The 20,979-nt window shown below is 34.4% G+C and overlaps 1 long non-coding RNA gene across 1 annotated transcript in view, besides 1 other annotated feature; it reads left to right on the forward strand.

Annotated features, from left to right (window-relative positions):
• The window catches only part of LINC02699 (long intergenic non-protein coding RNA 2699), a 470,852-nt gene that overhangs the window by 447,869 nt on the left and 2,004 nt on the right, over nt 1-20,979 (forward strand). The gene's annotated exons all lie outside the window — the stretch shown is intronic.
• Nucleotides 10,497-10,734: a silencer, noted in NCBI's record as "fragment chr11:25933512-25933749 (GRCh37/hg19 assembly coordinates)". NCBI's record gives its function as "represses an EF-1alpha promoter that drives an FKBP-Casp9 reporter gene in an ReSE screen in K562 erythroleukemia cells {active_cell/tissue: K562}" and the evidence as "EXISTENCE:reporter gene assay evidence [ECO:0000049][PMID:32094911]".

Raw genomic sequence — 20,979 nt, forward strand, 5'->3', positions numbered from 1 at the left:
AGGGGAGAAAGTAAAATATATATACGTATACATATATATGTATATTATATATATATATACACGTACACATATATATGTATATGTTTATATATATACGTACATGTATATATACGTATATATACACATATACATACGTATACGTATATACATATACACATATATACGTATACGTATGTATATACATATACACATATATACGTATACGTATATACATATACACATATACATACGTATACGTATATACATATACACATATATACGTATACATATGTATATACATATACACATATATACGTATATGTATGTATATACATATACGTATATATGTATACATGTACATGTATACATATACATACATATACATACATGTATATGTATGTATACCTATACATGTATGTACATATATATGTATATACATATACATTCATATACATATGTATGTACATATATATGTATATACATATACATTCATATACATATGTATGTACATATATATGTATATACATATACATTCATATACATATGTATGTACATATATATGTATATACATATACATGCATATACATATGTATGTACATATGCATGCATATACATATGTATATACATATGCATGCATATACATATGTATATACATATGCATGCATATACATATGTATATACATAGCATGCATATACATATGTATATACATATACATATATGCATATACATATATACATATATGCATATACATATATACATATATGCATATACATATATACATATATGCATATACATATATACATATACATACATATACATATACATATACGTGTATATACATATACATATATACATATATACATGTACGTGTATGTATATATACATGTACATATATGTATATATACATGTACATATATGCATACACACATATATGTATGCATATAGACATATATGTATATATGTATATACTTATATGGATATGTGTGTGGGTGTGTGTGTGTATACATATATATATATATAAAATCTTCTCTGTTCTCCTCTTCAACTGAATACCAAAGTAAATAGACTTTGGTTAAGGATTACGTAAAGTTAATAAGCCTGAATCTATGAAGCATTACTCTCAGGAAAATATCTTGTAAGATACATAACTCCCTTAGGGTAACATATAATGGAGATGTTTCATAGTTTGAGGGTTCATTGCTATGTAATGTCGCTCAGCAAACCTCACTTAGAACTAGTACTCTACACGAGAGGTGTGTGTGTCATGAGTGAAAGAAGAACCTGGGAAGCACCCCATGAGTCCCAGATCTCACTCTGACTTGTCTGAGCCTGTATCCATGATGCCTTAGTAAAGCTTGAAACTGGGTAATATCTCTGGTTTATGTGAATCTGATTTGACAATCTGATCCTCTACATGGACTCAGTTTCCTTCTTTGTAATTCTCTTTTTCTTTAATGTCCTTCTGTGTGTGTGTGATAAAATACATATAAGATGAAATTTATACTCTTAAATGTTTTAGCGTATAATACAGTATTTATAACTATAAACAGTGTTGTTCCGTAGAACTCTAGAACTTTCTCATTTTGCATAACTGAAACTTCATACAGATTGAGCAGCAACTCCCCATTGCTTCGTCCTCCCAGCCCTGGCAGCCATCATTCTACTTTTTACTTCTATGAGTTTGTTTACTTTAGATACCTCATGTAAGGGACATCATTTAGTGTTTGCCTTTCAGTGTCTGTTTGCCCTTCAGTGTCTGGCTTATTTTATGCGGCATAATGTCCTCAAACTTCATCCATGTTAGATGGCTGCTGTGGTCTAAATGTTTTCCCCAAAATTCATGTATTGAAACTTTATCACCAATGTGATAGAATTAAGAGGTGGAGACTTTAAGAGATGATTAAATCATGAGGGCACAGCCTCATCTTTAGAAAGCCTTACATCTTTCTAAAGGGGTTTAAAGAATTGGATTGGAGGTCTTCTGATCATCTACCATGTAACACAGCGAAAAGGCCCTCACCAGGCACACAACCTGCCGGTACCTTGATCTTGGACTTCTCAGCCTCCAGGATTGTAAGGAATAAATTTATGTGGCTTATACATTACCCAGTCTGTGGTATTCTGTTATAGTAGAAAAAATGGACTAAAGGAGAAATTGGTACTGAAGAGTGCAGTGTTGTTATAACAAGTACATCAAGATGTGGAAAAGGCTTTGGAACTGGATAATGGGTAGAGACTGGAACAATTTTGAAGTGCGTGCTAGAAAAGCTTAGATTGCTAAGAACAGACCATCCAGGGCAATTCCTATGAGGGTTCAGAATAAGAGATGAGTGGTAGGGAAAGTCTCAATCTTGGAGACTATATAACTGATCATGGCAAGGAGAAATATGGACTAGGAATTGAAAACTGCCTGAGAAGCTAAATGGCATTACATACCAGATTTGGTTTAAAGTGCATTAGGTAAGAGCTTAGTGTTGTCACTTTATTTTAAGCTGTCCCCTTAGAATGAAAATGGTAACATACATTAATAAGAGCTCTGGGAACAGTGATCTGTCTGGTCTAAACAGTATTATTCTTGCCTGATTTCCCTGGCCAGAGCTTCCAATACTATGTTGAATAGGAGTGGTGAGACAGGGCATCCTTGCAGGGCATCCTTGTCTTGTGCTGGTTTTCAAGGGGAATGCTTCCCACTTTTACCCATTCCGTATAATGTTGGCTGTGGGTTTGCCGTATGTGCCTCTTAATTTTTCAGGTATATTCCTTCAATACCTAGTTTATTGAGACTGTATGACATGAAGGAATGTTGAATTTTACAGAAAGCCTTTTCTGCATCTATTGAGATAATCATGTGGTTTTTGTCTTTAGTTAGATGAATCATATTTATTGAGTTGCATATGTTTAATTCACCTTGCATCCCAGGGATGAAGCTTACTTGAATATGGTGGATAAGCTTTTTGATGTGCTTCTGGATACAGTTTGCCAGTATTTTGTTGACAATTTTTGTATTGATGTTCATCAAGAATATTAGTCTGAAGTTTTCTATTTTAGTTGTATCTCTGCCAGGTTTGGTATCAAGGTGATGCTGGCTCCATATAATTAGTTAGGAAGGAGTTCCTCCTCCTCAATTTCTTGGAATAATTTTAGTAGGAAATGTATCAGCTCCTCTCTGTACATCTGGTAGAATTCAGCTGTAAATCCATCTTGTCCTGTGGTCCTTGGCTCTTTCTTTTTTTTTTTTTTTTGGTTGGTAGGCTATTTATTATGGCCTCAATTTTTGAACTCGTTATTGGTCTGTTCAGGGATTGAATTTCTTCCTGGTTCAGTCTTGGAAGGGTGTATATATCCAGGAATGTATCCATTTCTTCTAGATTTTCTAGTTTATGTGCATAGAGGTGTTCATAATATTCTCTGATGGTTGTTGGTATTTCTGTGGGATTAGTGATGATATCTTATTGTTTCTGATTGTGTTTATATGAATCTTCTTCTCTTATTAGTCTAGCTAGCAGTCTATTTTATTATTTTTTTTTCAAAAAGCCAGCTCCTGGAGTCATTGATATTTTGAATTTGTGTGTGTGTGTGTGTGTGTGTGTGTGTGTGTGTGTGTGTGTGTGTGTCTATCTCCTTCAGTTCTGCTCTGATTTTGGTTATTTCTTGACTTTTGATAGCTTTGGGATTTGTTTGATCTTGGTTCTCTAGTTGTTTTAGTTGTGATGTACGGTTGCTAACTTACATCTTTCTACTTTTTGATTTGGGCATTCAGTGCTATAATTTTTCCTTTAGTACTGCCTTAGCTGTGTCCCAGAGATTCTGGTATATTGCATCTTTGCTCTCATTAGTTTCAAATATCTTCTTGATTTCTGCCTTAATTTCATTATTTACCTAAAAGTCATTCAGGAACAGTTTATTCAATTTCCATGTAACTGTATGGTTTTGAGATGATTTCTTAGTCTTGATTTCGAATTTGATTGTGCTGCTAAGAGGCTGTTTGTTATGATTTCAGTTATTTTGCATTTGCTGAGGTGTGTTTTACTTCCAATTATGTGATTAATTTTAGAGTAAGTGCCATGTTCCTATGAGAAGAATGTGTATTTTGTTGTTTTTGAGTGAACAGTTCTGTAGATATCCATGAGTTCCATTTGATCCAGTGCTGAGTTCAGTTCCTGAATATTTTTGTTAATTTTCTGTCTCGATGATCTAATATTATTAGTGGGGTGTTAAAGTCTCCCACTGTTATTGTGTGGGACTCTAGATCACTTTGAAAGTCTCCAAGAACTTGCTTTACAGGGCATTCGGGTAGGAAGCAAGAAAGTCAAACTATCCCTGTTTGCAGATGACATGATCCTATACCTAGACAATCCCATAGTCAGCCCAAAAGCTTCTTAAGCTGATAAACAACTTCAGCCAACTCTCAGCATACAAAATAAATGTGCAAAAATTATTAACATTTCATATACCAACAGCAGTCAAGCCAGGAGCCAAATCAGGAATAAACTCCCATTCACAATTGCCAAAAATAAAAATAAAATAAAATACATAGAAATACAGATAAGTAGGGAGGGGAAAGATCTCTACAAGGAACTATAAACCACTGCTGAAAGAAATCAGAGATGACACAAACAAATGGAAAAACATTCCATGTTCACAGATAGGAAGAATCAGTATCATTAAAATGACCACACTGCCCAAAACAATTTATAGATTCAATGATGCTCTCATTAAACTACCACTGACATTTTTTACAGAACTAGAAAAACTATTTTAAAATTAATCTGAAACCCAAAAAGAGCCTGAATACCCAAGGCAATACTAAGCAAAATTAACAAAGCTGGAGGCATTGTGCTACCTGGCTTCAAACAATACTACAGGGCTATAGCAACCAAAACAGCATGGTAGTGGTACAAGAACAGATACATAGAGCAATGGAACAGAACAGAGAACCCAGAAAAAGACCACACATCTAAAACTATCTGATCTTTTACAAACCTGAAAAAAAAAACAAGCAACAGGGAAAGGATTCCCTATTCAATAAGTGGTGCTGGGATAAGTGGCTAGCCATAGGCAGAAGGCTGAAACTGGACCCCCTTCCATACATCATATACAAAAATTAACTCAAGATGGTTTAAAGACTTACATGTAAAATCCAAAACTATAAAAACCCTAGAAGACTCTAGGCAACAGCATTTAGGACATAGGCATGGGCAAAGATTTTATGAAGAAGATGCCAAAGGCAATTGCAACAAAAGCAAAAATTGACAAATGGTAGCTAATTAAGCTAAAGAGCTTAAAGAACTTCTGCACAGAAAAAGAAACTACCTCAAAACTATTTGTAAACAGAGAGCCTACAGAAAAGAAGAAAATGTTTGCAAATTATGCAGTTGACAATGGTCTAATATCCAACATCTATAAAGAACTCAAAAACACTTACAATAAAAAAATAAGGCCATTAAAAAGTGGGCGAAGGACATAAACAGACACTTCTCAAAAGAAGGCATACATGTGGCCAAGAATCATATGAAAAAAAGCTCAACATCACTGATCATTATAATAGGCAAATCCAAACCACAATGAGATATCATCTCACACCAGTCAGAATGGCTATTACTAAAAAGTCAAAAAATAACAGATGCTGGTGAGGTTGTGGAAAAAGGGAACGTTAATACACTCTTGGTGGGAGTATAAATTAGTTCAGCCATTGTGGAAGACACATGCACGTGTATGTTCATTGCAGCACTACTCACAATAGCAATGACATGGAACCAACTTACATGCCCATCAATCATTGACTGGATGAAGAAGATGTGGTACATATACACCATGGAATACTATGCACCCGTAAACGAGAATGAGACCTTGTCCTTTTCAGGGACATGGTCTTTATCCATGAGGGATAAAGAGAGGCCTTTATCCTTAGCAAACTAACACAGGAACAGAAAGCCAAATACCACATGCTCTCAATTATAAATAGGAGCTAAATAATGAGAACATATGGACACATAGAGGGTAACAACACACACTGGCCCCTTTCAGAGGCTGGAGGGTTGGAGGAGGGAGAGGATCAGGAAAAACAACTAATGGGCCTAGGCTTAATACCTGGGTGATGAAATAATCTGTACAACAAACCCCCATGACACAAGTTTACCTATGAAACAAACCTACACTTGTATCCCTGGACTTAAAATAAATTTTTTTAAAAAAATTGTACTATTCATAGGACAAAATGACTGTTTTGAAAATGTTCTTGTTTGTTCATTTGTTCATTGCCATTTCTGTAATCCATAGAGGAAACTTCTTCTTTTGCCTCTTTATTCCTTTTGTGTCATTTTCCTATACAATTTTATGCCTTGAACATTCTCAAAATATCTACACAAAGACCCTAGTTTTTGTGTCTGTGATTAAGACCAACAATGCCTACTGCATGGAAGATTGAAAGGGATATATTTTAAATGACTAGTCTTAATAAGTACTCAATAAAATATCACTAATATTATTTAATCTGGGTTTCTATTAGATCAAACAGTTACTACTTTTCATTCTAATTTTTTTTTTTTTTGCAAACTTAGATCCTGTACTGGAAACTGATTTTAAAATTGTGTGCAAAAAGAGAGAGAAATAATATGTTCATTTTGGGGGTTATTATAACAGCTTGTTAGTAATATTTTGAAATTAGAAAAATATTGACAATAAAACCAGGGGCCCTAAATCATTTCCTCAAGCTCACACCTTGAGCTAGTATCAGAAGCAAATAGAAACCTTGTCTTTTAACTTCCAATGACTGTACCATATATTTACATATCATAATTTGTGCAAAGCTTTTTAAATACATTTTCCTCTCAATTAGTACTTAAAATTATAACTCTATGAATTTAATTTTTAAAATTCTCAACTTGTTCAATATTTTGGGGCTGCCTTTCCTTTAAAATTTTCAAAAAAATACGCCAGTATATCCCAAACTCCTTTACCTACAATAGGAAGATCAGTTAGAATAAATCCAAAAGCTTAATAAAAACGGGACACTGAAGGGAGAATTTTTTATGGGATTCATTTTAAACGTTTATGTAACTCTTTGAGAAGTCGTAAGCTTTCCTTTTATTTTAGATTATGTTACTGGATTATAATTTGTCTTCAATATTTTATAAAAGACCTATACACACACCACACTCACACGCACATACACACATGCACACACAGGTTTGGGTTTGAAGAGCAATGAACTAAAATTTAATTTCCTGGGTTAATAGGGTAAGAAGTTTGAAAAGCTTTCCCAAAATTCTTCCAAACTGACTTAAACAAAATAAGGTTTGCAGCAACTCCATTAGCAAAGCTCGTTTAAGCTCAAAACAAAAACACACATCCATGCATATTCAAGATAGGAATGAACTCTAAGTTCAGAGAGTCCATTCTTTAGCTCTTGAGAGTTTGTTGCTCTATTTTGCTTTAAAACATATTTTCATCTGCTTTAAATGAGGTAACTTGAACATACACAGACAAAAATGACCATCATAGAACACAACTGGCAGTACCAAGGTCTGTTTTCCCAGAGTTTTCTCTGTGCAATCTATATCAATTGTCAGCTAATTATACATTAGCTACTAAATTGAGATAGTGCCCTCAAACGATGCTCAGTTGTCTTTGTAAATAAGAGATTATTTTTTATGTAAGATATCAAAAACAGCTGGATAAAAATACTTGCTAAACCAACAAAAAGTTTAATTTTGGCAGATTATTTTGAGAGAGATAGACAAATGATTAGGCGACTTTCAGATTGGAAATTTATTAGAATGTTGATTTATCTTTTAATGTATCCCAAGTACCTAGAATGGTACTTGACCCATATAGAAACTTATTTCATTATTATAAAATGAAAAATGTCCTCTTGTGTTTAATTGCAAGGTAAAACACACATGCAAATAAACACAACTATTAAAAGCTGACAAAGTTCACTTGCAGGAGGTTGTAAATTTTTTTAGGTCTCAAAATGTGCAAACCAAAGGAATATAACCGACTTTAAACGTTGTCATATATAAACTCTTTGGTCTGGGAAAAGTCCCAAACAACTTTGCTTCCAGAGAGTAGATCTCACAACTTTGGTAATTGTTAATCAGTGGTAATCATTATAAATCTAGGTAAGATTATTTTACACATAAAAGCCAATTAATGAATACTTACTAGTGAACTGATGACAATATTCTTACAAAGCAAAGTAATATAAATAAATTTAAAAATCACCTAAAGGAAGAAATAATCTCCAGGCCCATCAGTTTAGAATATATTTTCAAAAAAGAAACATTAAAATGTAAACAATTTGTGGATTAGAAATTTTTCACTCTTGGAGCTCCCTTGGAGATCATTCAGATTAATCACTTTTCCCCAAATTTGAAATGTTGGAATTTTGTCTGTGACACCCCTGAAAGACCATAGGGCTTTTATCCAAACACTATACTTGAAGGGTTTTATATATGCATATCCAGGAGAATCTGCTTCTGTAGTTTTAGAATGCACTTTATTATTAGATTCAGGAACCTAAATTTAGAGAAGGCACACCTCCAATAGGCAATTTCCAGGCATCATTTCATTACCACCTACAAGAACATGATTTTCACATGAGAATATTAAGATTAATTAAATGACTTTTAACGTTTATTTCTTCTGTGATTGCAAATTTTCCTTATGTGTATGGTAGCAAAATAATGTAGAAAATAAAATTAAACAGTCTCACACTTTTAGTAGAACATCATGCCTTCAAAAAAGCTCAGATCAACAGTGTTATAAGGCTTTAAACTATACCTTATGTAAATCTCTTGGTTTCTGGGATAAATGCCAAAAGCAATTTAGATACAGTCATACTTCCCCATAACATTAACACCCTTCATGTTTGCTCATTTGAAGATCAGTTAATCACTAGTATTCATCAGTCTAGGCAAGAGCTTAGTTACATATAGAGAGGTTAAATACTCTTTAGTAAACTAATAACAATCATCACGGAAAAAAAAATGATCATCTTAATGTAAAGAGACAAAAGAAAAATCATAGCCCTTAAAATCCAGGGTCATGAATTTCAGCAACTCTTTGAACTGAAAAATTTCATGACAGAGGAGTATCTTATATATTAAGTAGTCTTCCCTTACTTAAATGCTAAATTATTCTGCCATCCATAGCACATGGTCATCCAGGCTTTACAAAAATACTCAGGCCTTAGATGCTCACAAGCAAAGAGGCTGCACAGCAAAGTGCATATTAAAGGTCTATCAAGTATATTGGGTCTAGGAATTGTAGAAAGATAAATCTAATTAAATAATTTGTATTCAGAAGCTTCAATTTTTAAATAATGTCAAAATATCTAATGGTCTTTCTTAGCATGAGAAAGTTTTTACTAAGACTGGTGAAGTGCCACTAATATATTTTTTTAATTTTAAATTTCAATTGCTCTTTGGCATTATGCAGAAACACAACTGAATTGGAAATGGTAATGTCATATCCTATGAATTCACTAAATTCGTTTTTAGTTCTAGGAATTTTTTGTAAATTCCTTTGAGTTTTCTGTCTTGACAATGACAACACTGTGAACAAGGACAGTTTTACCTTTTTTCAACCTGTAAAACATTTTATTTCTTTCTTGTCTTATAACACTATTTAGGGTCTCAATACAAAGTCAAAGTAGAGTGACAAAAGAGTACACCCTACCGTTTTCCCTGATTTTGGAGGGAAAACTCAGTGTTTTACACTGTGAATGTTATAGGGATTTTGTAGGTGCCCTCCATCAGGTTAAGAAGTTTGCCTCTATTCTTGGTTTGCAAAGAATTTTTATTAGGAATGGATGTTAACTTTAGATGAATGCTTTTCTGTAATAATCATGATTCTTTTTTTTTTAGTCTCTTAATAAAGTGAGTTGCATTGATTGGTTTTTGAATGTTGAACTGGCCTTGAATTCCTGACGTAAACTCCACTGCTTAGGTTATACTATCAATTTTACATATAAAAAATTATTGGATTAGATTTACTAGTACTTTGAAAATATTTGTATCTCTGTTAATGAAGAATATGAGTCTGCAGTAATGTTTCATTTAATGCCTTTGTCTGATTTGAGTATTAGGTTAATGTTGACCATACAAAATCACTTGAGACATTTGCTCTCATCTTCTAATTTCTGGAAAAAATTATGAAGAGCTGATTGTATTCCATAAATATTGTATATAATTTACCAATGAAAGTATCTTTGCCTGGGGTTTTAAGTATAAAGTAACAAATTTCAATAGATCTAAAAACTATTTAATTATTTATTTTTTCTTGAATCAGTTTTAGTAGTTAGTACCTTCAAGGAACTTTTGTTATGGAATAGAGTTGTTTTCATGTTGTTTGTACAGACTTGCTACAGAAACACTTTCAAAATGTTCTTCAAGCTAAAAAGAATATCTAATGGAAAGTCAAAAAATGAGTAAAGAACACTGGAACTAAAACTCTAAGATTAAATATAATATATGCTTATTTATTCCTCCTAATTTATTATATATACATATATATTTAAGTCAAGATAATTATAACATTATGTTTTGGAAATTAAAACAGATAAATTTAATGCCTACAACACCAAACATTTAAAGGATGAGTGGTAGGCAAATAATGGTAATGTTTCTGCCTTCTATATAAAGTAATAAAAAATTAATTATAACTAAATGTAAAGCGTTAAGGGCATATATAATTGCTCTCAGAGCAATCAATGAAAAACATGAAAATACATTTAGCTAAAGGCAATGACAAAATTAAAATTAAACTTTGAAAATTGACAAATAACACAAAATAAATATAGAAAAAAAACAAAACCAGAAGGCAATAAAATACGTATAAAATATTACCCCCAAACCCCAAAATATCACATTAAATATAAAGTTAATAATAACACAACTTAAGGCAATACTGTCAGACTAAGACTAAATCAGACAGAACAAAAGAAAGCAAAATGAAAATAGGACTCAACTCTAAACTTCTTACAAGAGGCAATCTTTAAATGGGAAAACAGTGTGTGAAAATAACTAAATACATAGATGTATAAAGAATACTAAAAAAACACTAATTTTAAAAAGTCACAGTGACCATATTAATATCAGATGAAATATCAAAACAATATTGTAATGAGGTAAAGGAGAAAATTTTATGATGGCAAAGTGTCAATTTATTATGACAACAATCATAAATATCTATGCACCTAATAAGTTCTTATATTAAAAAGGCACCAACATGTGTATCTTTTTTGCAGCACAATTCACAATTGCAAAATATGGAATCAATCTTAGGTGTACATCAGTTGATGTGTGGATAAAGAAAATATTGTGTATGGGTGTGTGTTTGTGTGTGTGTGTGTATGCGTGTGTGTGTATCCATACTATGGAATACTACTCAGTCACAAAAAATAATGAAATACTATATTTTGCAGTAACTCAGTGGAACTGGAGGCCATTATCCTAAGTGAAGTAACTCAGGAATAGAAATCCAAATACCACATGTTCTCACTTCTAAGTAGGAGCTAAGCTATGTGTACACAAAGTCATACAGAGTGGTTTAATGGACACTGGAGACTCAAAAGTGGGAAGGATGGAAGAGGGTGAGGGATGACAAATTATCTATTGGGTAAAATGTACATTATTCAGGTAATGGGTACAGTAAAATCTCAGAATTCACCACTATATACAATTCATCCATGTAATAACCAAAAACCAGTTGTACCCCTAAAGCTATTGAAATAAAAAAAATTAATCTCCAGCATAAGGGTAGCCAGTTATTTCACTACCATTTATTGAATAGAGTGTCCTTTCCCCAGTGTATCTTTTTGTCTACTTTGTCAAAGAACCAATGGTTGCAGGTGTGCTGCTTTGTTTCTGGACACCTTAGGTCCACTGGTCTATGTATCTACTTTCATACCAGTATCATGCCATTCAGGTCACTGTACCCTTGTAGTATACTTTGAAGTTTGGGTAATATGATGCCACTAGATGTGTTCCTTTTGCTGAGGATTGCTTTGGCTGTTTGGGTCCTTTTTTGTTTTCATATCCATTTTAGAATAGATTTCTAATACAATGAAAAGTGATGTTGGTAGTTTGATAGGAATAGCATTGAATCTTTAAATTGCTTTGGGCAGTACATCCATGTTAACAATATTGATTCCTCCTATCCATGAGCATGGAATGTTTTTCCATTGTTTCTGTCAACTCTGATTTCTTTCAGCAGTGTTTTGTCTAAATTCTTGTTGCAGGGATCTTTCATCTCCCTAGTTAGCTATATTCCTAGGTGTGTGTGTGTATTGTGAATTGGATTACATTTTTGATTTGGCACTCAGCTTGGATGTTATTGGTGTACAGAAATTCTACTGATTTTTGTACACTGATTTTGTATCCAGAAAGTTTGCTGAAGTTGCTTAACAGATCTAAGAGCTTTTGGGCAGAGACAATGGGGTTTTCTAGACATAAAATTATATCATTTGCAAACACAGAGAGTTTGACTTCCTCTCTTACTATTTAGATGTCTTTTATTTCTTTCTCTTGCCTGACTGCTCTGACTAGGACTTCCAGTACTACCTTGAATACAAGTGGTGACAGTGGGCATCATTGATCCCATCTTACCTCTTCTGTTGAAGAGATTCCTTAAGATTTCTACAACAAGAATTGAGAGCTTCCTTTTCTCTATACACAAAAATCAACTCAAGATGGATTAAAGATATAAAACATAAAGCTATTAAAACTCTTGAAGAAAACTGAGGAAATACCATTCTAGACATACGCCCTCAGAAAGATTTTTTGGCAAAAATGTCAAAAGCACTTGTGAGAAAAACAAAATTGAAGAATGAGATCTAATTAAACTAAAGAGCTTACAGCAAAAGAAACCATCAACTGAGTAACTATATAACCCACAGAATGAAAGAAAATATTTACAATCTATGCATCTGATAAAGGTCTAATATTCAGAATCTATAATAAACTTATATTAACAAGCCAAAAACAACCTCATTAAAAAGTTGGCAAAGGATATGTTTCAAAAGAAGATACATACATGGCCAAGAAACATATGAAAGAATGCTCAACATCATTAATCTTTGGGGAAATGCAAATTAAAACCACAATGAGATACCATCTGACAACAGTTAGAATGGCTATTATCAAAAAGTCAAAAAATAACAGATGCTGGTGAGGTTGTGGAGAAAAGGGAATGCTTATACACTGTTGGTGAGGCTGTAAACTAGTTTAGCCAATGTGGAAAGCAATTTGGTAATTTCTCAAGCAACTTAAAATAGAACTACCATTTGACCCAGCAATCTCATTATTGGGTATATACTCAAAGGATTATAAATTATTCTATCATAAAGACACATGTATGTGTATGTTCATCATAGTACTCTTCACAATGGCAAAGACATGGAATAAGCCTAAATACCCATCAACAGTAGACTGGACAATTAAAATGTGGTACATATATATGCCATGGAATACTATGCAGCCATAAAAAATGAGATCATGTCTTTTGCAGCAACAAGGATGAAGCTGGAGGCCATTAGCCTAAGCAAACTAATGCAGGAACAGAAAACCGAACACCACATGTTCTCATTTATAAGTGAGAGCTCAACACTGAGTACGTGTGGATATAAAAGAAGGGAACAGTAGACTCCAGGGCCTACTTGGGGGTGGTGGATGGGAGGGGAGGGAGGATCAAAAAACTAGTCAGGGAGAATACTTTTTACCTGGGTGATGAAATAATCTGTACACCAAACCCCCATGACACACAATTTATTTATAGAACAAGCCTGCACATGTATAACTGAAACTAAAAGTTCAAATAAGAAATTTAAAAAAAATTTAATTTTTTAATTTTAATTTCAATTTTAATTAAAAAAACATTTCAATAGACATTTGTTCAAATCAGATATTCAAATGAGCATTAAGTATATGAAAAGATGTTGAACATATCATTAATAAGGAAATTAAAATTATAAACACAATGAGATACTACCTCATAGCCAGGAGGACTGCTACATTATAAAAGACAATTATTATTATTATTATTATTATTATTATTATTATTATTGGAGAGAATGGGCAGATATTTGATCCTAATTTATCATTTGTATGCTGACATGCTGGCAAGTTGATGGAAATATGAAGTGGTGCAACTACTTTGGAAAATAGTTTGACAGTTCATCAAACATTAAGCATATAGTTAGTGTATCTCCAATAACTCTGCCCTTGGGTATATGCTGAATTGAAAAGAAAACATATAACCACAATAAAACTTATACATAAATGTTCATAGCAAACTTATATTAAAAAAATAGAAAGAACCCAAAATTCAAATCAACTGATGAAAAAGTAAACAAAATGTAGTATATTCCTGCAATGAAATATTTTTTAACAATTAAAAGTACAAAGTACTAATACATGGCCCATATTGATGAAACTTGCAAACTTTGTGCTAAGGGAAAAAGACCAGTCAGGAAAAGACAACATATTATATGATTCCATTTATATGATATATTCAGAATAGGCAAATCTATAGAGATAGGCAGTGGATTTATGGTTGTCTAGGTCATGACCTATTATCTTGTTATAATAGCACAAGCTTTATCATAGCAGCAGAATAGAGGCTCACACATCAGATGTTTCTTAAATGATGATACTAGGAAAACTAGTGAAAAATTAGGTTTAATAGATACATATTAAAAACAACTGTTTAAGTGATTCAACAAAACTTTGTGTTATTTACAGTCATATCAGTTTATGAAAAACTCACAGAAGCAGACAAATTTTCCATGTCATTGATTTCATAAATATTACAGGTTTTGATTGGAGGATAGAATGTGGAAATAAAATAAGGGTTATCAAATGACCTGAGTTGTAATTGAAATATTATTTTTAAAATAATTTAAATACTTAAAAATACTATAGATTATACGTTTTTAATCTTTCCTTCCTTTTTCTCTCCCCTTCCCTTCCTGTCTCACTTCATTTCTTATTCTTTTTCTTAATAGCTACTGATTCTTGTATAGTTTCATAGCCTGTAATTTCCTTGGTCACAGTACTAATAACCAGCAGAGCATTCGTGTTTGATTAAATCTTTAGAAACAATGGTTGTCCTTAATGAACCAACAGAAAATCATCATTAGGGTACTTTTATTCTCATAGGCATTGGTGCCAGCATGACTGAGACCTGAAATCACAGATGAAGTTTATAATCATTTGTGATTATAAATGGCAATTATACATCTGCTGTGAAATAACTAACATTGAATACAAGGGATTTAGAAGGTAGTTTCTGTTAATTTGTCTCCTTTTCTGCAAAATAATGTCTAAAACACAATGTTTATATATAAGTTGTCTCATAATTTTTTCAAAAAGTGTATGTTTACACATATGTATATACATATATACACATACTGATATTTCCTTTGTTTAATATTCTTAACCTGAAAAATTGGTTACATTTTTATTGTAAAATAGATAAATTATACTGTCATATCACATTGAGGGATGTAGCCCCCAGAATTAATAAATACATTTAATGCTTATAACAAGTTCACTTGTATATGGTACAACATTCTAAGTATACTGTGTGTATTAACACACATAATTCTTGTAACGATCACATAAGACAGGAAGATAAGGAGCAAATATGTAGAATAAATTGTCCAAGATCATAAAAAAATCATAAGTATTTGAGTCTTTCTTTGGAAATATAATAATAAAATATAAAATGTCTTTAGCGTCTTCAAGAAAGTGTTATAGACATGTAGTTTGTGAAGTTGACACTGCTTTGCTATCTACTACAGTGGAAAGATCTTGATAAATGACTTCCCAATTGCTGCCTATGTTGTATTGCTGACTTGAAGAATTTAAAATATAAAAAGATTACGTCAGGGCATGGTGGCTCACACCTGTAATCCCAGCACTTTGGGAGGCCGAGGCGGGTAGATCAGTTGAGGTCAGGTGTTCAAGACCAGCCAGACTGGCCAAAATGGTGAAACCCTGTCTCTACTAAAAATACAAAAATTAGCCAGGCATGGTGGTGGGCAACTGTAATCCCAGCTACTAAGGAGGCTGAGACAGGAGAATCACTTGAACTTGGGAGGCGGAGGTTGCAGTGAGCCAAGATCATGCCACTGCATTCCAGCATGGGTGATGGAGTGAGACCCCATCTCATTAAAAAAAACTCATAAAAATAAATATTATATATTATTTATATGTTATATATATGTTAAATTACTTATATATAGACACTTATTTTGACATATATTATTTAGAATATTTATAGTAGAAACCAAATCGGGCCAGCTGAGTCAAATCGGGGAAATATCTTATAAAGATCATTTTCTGTGGAAGCTGGGGAAGAAACTGAACTCAAGAGAATGTTTTAGAAATACAAATAAACCAACAATTGATGCTGTTATTTCCTCTAGTCTTTGCATTTCTTAAAAAATCAGTCCTTTATTTCTCTTTATCAGTTGCAAATTGGATAGATTCTCTTTGGCTCTCTGGAAGAAGGGAAAAACCATGGCACCTCACAGACCCTGTTTTAACAGATCACAGTAATAGTAGCTTTACATAGTTCTAAGTGATATTCGTCCTGATTTTAGTCGTCATTCCAATATTTTAGATGGGGGAATATGACTGGCCCATTTTTGGTCAAGACATATACCTGATCCAACTAACTCTGACCAGAACAATTTCATGAAGGAAAAATATAACTGCAGAAGAAGATACTTAATGGATTAGGAATTGAGAATATATTTTGCAGAGACATGGTTATTATTGGGTCAGGAGTCACATTACCAGGTGTCCTTCCAGAATGCAAGGAATATTAAACGTCAAGGAAGATGGGACTGAGCCAAATCTTGTGCTTGAAAGCAAATATCAATAATATTAAATAATAAATATAGTTCAATGTTTTAACAATTTGGCTATTTCTCTTCAAATCTTATCAACTAACTATTAATGACTAATACTCTGAGGCAGATATTATTTGGGATACACACTGCTAAGTCTAAGAAGCATATATGGGCAAGTATACCATTGTCAGATTATTTAGTCTGACAACTGCCTTTGTCAGAATCCTTTTCTCTCTGGGCTTTAATCAGAATTGGCCAAAGATAAATGCTTAATGAGGTTTGGAAGGCATATGGCAGCAGCAGCCATTCCTCTCAGGAAGTCTTTAAGGCCAGATGAAAAATGGTCAAATACAGAGGTACTCAGTGGGTCTCAGCTTGTCATCACTCTCCTCGGCTCCACATCCAGCTTGTCTTCTTCCTAACTGCCAGCCCTGATCAAAAGCAGGAGCCCTCATCCCAACACCAGATGCTTGGCTGCAGATCCATAGAGTAGTAGCTATACAGAGAAAACAAATTCCCCCAGATCTATCTATGGGCTTCTCCTGAGGATCCCACTTTGCCAGATAGACATGTTGGATTTCTCAGATTTCCCTGTACATCAAATTGTACACGCCTGCAGTTCTTTCAGGATTCTCATATACTCCAGCTCTTTCTTTCACTTTCTCATCGTCTCCTACAATTGTATCCTGTAATCTGCATCCCTTTATACATTTAGTTGCAGCTCCACTGTTCAAAAGGTAACTGACAACAGAGCTAAATAGCTTACCTACCTATGATGTTCGATGTTGCCATTACCGGTGGATTGACATGAGTTTCTAAAGATGACAAAAAAATAATAATCATAATCCTTCTTGAACTGGCCCTAATATTATCTGCCATATATTGGGAACTTCTATTATTTTATGGGAGCTTATAAACATGCATCTATGCTTATGCATGTACTTGTTTTCCTTTCCTAAAATAGTTTATTGTTATTCTTTGTTTGGATAAATCAGGCTCAGTGCAAGAAGCCACTTTCATTTGTATACTTTCCTCAGGTATGTTTACTTTTCCCAATATGCCTCCGCATCACTTTATATACAATCCTTTTACTAAAACTACCACTTTTTAAATAATTATTTATTTGTATCAGAATTTATTTTTACGACTCAGTTCTGTTATCTGGAGATAAAGACCAAGTTCATTAGCCAATATAGTACTTGGTATATTGCATGATTAAGAACCTATTGTAGAACCAATAAAAAATGTTAATCATGAAAGGATCATTAAATCTAAAGTGAACATTAGTGTCTTTGATAGTTTAAAAAATCACTTCAAAAATTTTAACAGCCTCCTCACTGAGATGTGGAATCTGTAATTTTTCTCCTAGAATGTAGCAAGGCATATGAATACTTGGCCAAAAAAGTAAATATAGGTGACTCTGTGTGACTTCTGCCTACATCATAAAATGTTACTTAAAGGTAGCATCTATGTGGTTCTCCTAGGATGTTAAATCTTAGAACTCTCCCTTGCTACATCCACCTTTTGGAACCCAATCACTATGCTATCATAAGCTTAAACCATATGGAGATGCCATGCATAACTAGTAGACTGGGAAGGCCTAGTTGAGCTTGAACTTCAGCCTATCCAGCCTTGGTGAAAACAGATAAGTGAAGGAGTCATCTGAGATCACATCCTCCATCCCCAGCATTCTAGCTCCCTGCCATTTAAATCTTGTCTCACTCCAGTAGCCCTTGGTTCAACCCAGAAGAAGCCATAGAAATTACAGAGTCATCTCCTCTGTACCATATTCAGATTTCTGATGGATAGAAACTTGGAGCATAATAATCTGTTTTTATTGTTTAAAATTACTATATTTTGGAGTTTTCTTTTTATGGTGCAAAAATTACTGAAACAGATTTTGGTAACTGGGAGTTAATACTGGTGGAACAAAAACCTAAAAATATGCAATATTGGTTAATGGAGGAGTTGGTGAGCAGAATCCTGATAAGCCTCATGAAGGCTGTTTTTCAGAGCCCAACAGAACATGAGGACAATAATACTGGAAGCTGCAGTAAAGGGAAAATAAAGTAACTAATAAATTTGATAATCATGCTAAGGAGAATTGTTAAATATATTTTCTGGCTTCTTCTAGATATCTATGAGGGAGCAGAGAGATAAAGTCAAATTAACTTAAAGTACATTGTTTAACTTTGAGTAGAATTGGGAAGAAATATAAAGAGCTTAGGCCAGTAATGCCCGCCAGCTGGGGCTTCTCAGAGTAAGAAAGGACCATAGGGTAATGTCAAAGCTAGTGTGCTAATAGGAAAATGTGGACTGGAGTTGAAGATAATGCTAAGGGTATGACTTAAAAACCCTTTAATAAGACCTCAGAAAGAGATAAGTTGGTGCCTCATAGACCCATGCAGACAGACAAAAGCCCTTCTAAGGGTCTTAGGGTCTTGTTTAGCAAGTCCTCTCTATTAAACAATAGGGCTTCTAAAACTCTCAAAACAGACTCATAGGGGGCCCAGTACAGACAAGGGTTTATCTCAAAAAGATGTGAGTATGTATTAGTCCGTTTTCGTGCTGCTGATAAAGACATGCCTTAGACTGGGCAATTTACAACAGAAAGAGGTTTAATTGGACTTACAGTTCCATGTGGCTGGGAAAGCCTCACATTAATGGCGAAAGGCAAAAAAGAGCAACTCACGTCTTACCTGGATGGCAGCAGGCAAACAGAGAGAGCTTGTGAAGGGGAACTCCTCTTTTTAAAAACCATCAGATCTCGTGAGACTTATTCACTCTCACAAGAACAGCACGGGAAAGACTTGACCCCATGATTCAATTACCTCCCACTGGGTACCTCCCACAACACATGGGAATTCAAGATGAGATTGGGGTAGAGACACAGCTAAACCATATAATTCCAGCCTGACCCCTCCCAAATTTCTCATCCTCTCCCAATCATGCCTTCTCAACAGTCCCTCAAAGTCTTAACTCATTTCAGCATTAATTCAAAAGTCCACAGTCCAAAGTCTCATCTGAGACAAGGTAAGTCTCTTCCACCTATGATCCTGTAAAATCAAAAGCAGATTAGTTACTTCCTAGATACAATGGGTGTACAGGCAATGGGTAAATACAGCCATTCCAAATGGGAGAAATTGGCCAAAAAAAGGGGATACAGCCCCCATGCAAGTCTGAGCTCCAGTGAGGCAGTAAAACCTTAAAGCTCCAAAATAATGTCTTTTGACTCCATGTCTCATACCTAGGTCATACTGATACAAGAGTTGGGTTCCTATGGTCTCGGGCAGCTCTGCCCCTGTGGTTTTGCAGGGTACAGCCTCCCTCCCAGCTACTTTCATGGGCTGGCGTTGAGTGTCTGCAGCTTTTCCAGATGCAGAGTGTAAGCTGTTGGTGGATCTACCATTCTGAGGTCTGGAGGATGGTGGCTCTCTTCTCAAAGTTCCACTAGGCAGTGCCCCATTAGGGACTCTGTGTGGGTGCTCTGACCCCACATTGCCTTTCAACACTGCCCTAGCAGAGGTTCTCCATGAGAGCCCCACCCCTGCAGCAAACTTCTGCCTGGACATCCAGACATTTCCATACATCTTCTGAAATCTAGGCAGAGGTTCTAAAACCTCAGTTCTTGACTTCTGTGTACTTGCAGGCTCAACATCATGTAGAAGCTGCAGGCTTGCACCCTCTGAAGCCATGGCCTGAGCTCTACATAGGCCTCTTTCAGCCACAGCCCAAGCTCTATGTTGGCCCCTTACAACCATGGCTAGAGTGGCTGGGACGCAGGCCACCGAGTCCCTAGGCTGCACAAAGCACAGAGATCCCGGGCCCAACCCACAAAACCACATTTTCCTCCTAGGCCTCTGGGCCTGTGATGGGAGGGGCTGCTGTAAAGACCTCTGACATGTCCTGGAGACATTTCCTCTGTTGTCTTGGGGATTAATATTTGGCTCCTCATTACTTATGCAAATTTCTGCAGCCAGCTTGAATTTTTCCTCAGAAAATGGGATTTCATTTCCATCACATTGTCAGGCTGCAAATTTTCTGAAATTCTATGCTCTGCTTCCCTTATATAAGGGACTTGATTCCCTTATAACAGCAACCAAGTCACCTCTTGAATGCTTTGCTGCTTAGAAATTTA

The sequence above is a fragment of the Homo sapiens genome, chromosome 11, assembly GCF_000001405.40.
Source record: "Homo sapiens chromosome 11, GRCh38.p14 Primary Assembly".
Lineage (NCBI taxonomy): Eukaryota > Metazoa > Chordata > Mammalia > Primates > Hominidae > Homo > Homo sapiens.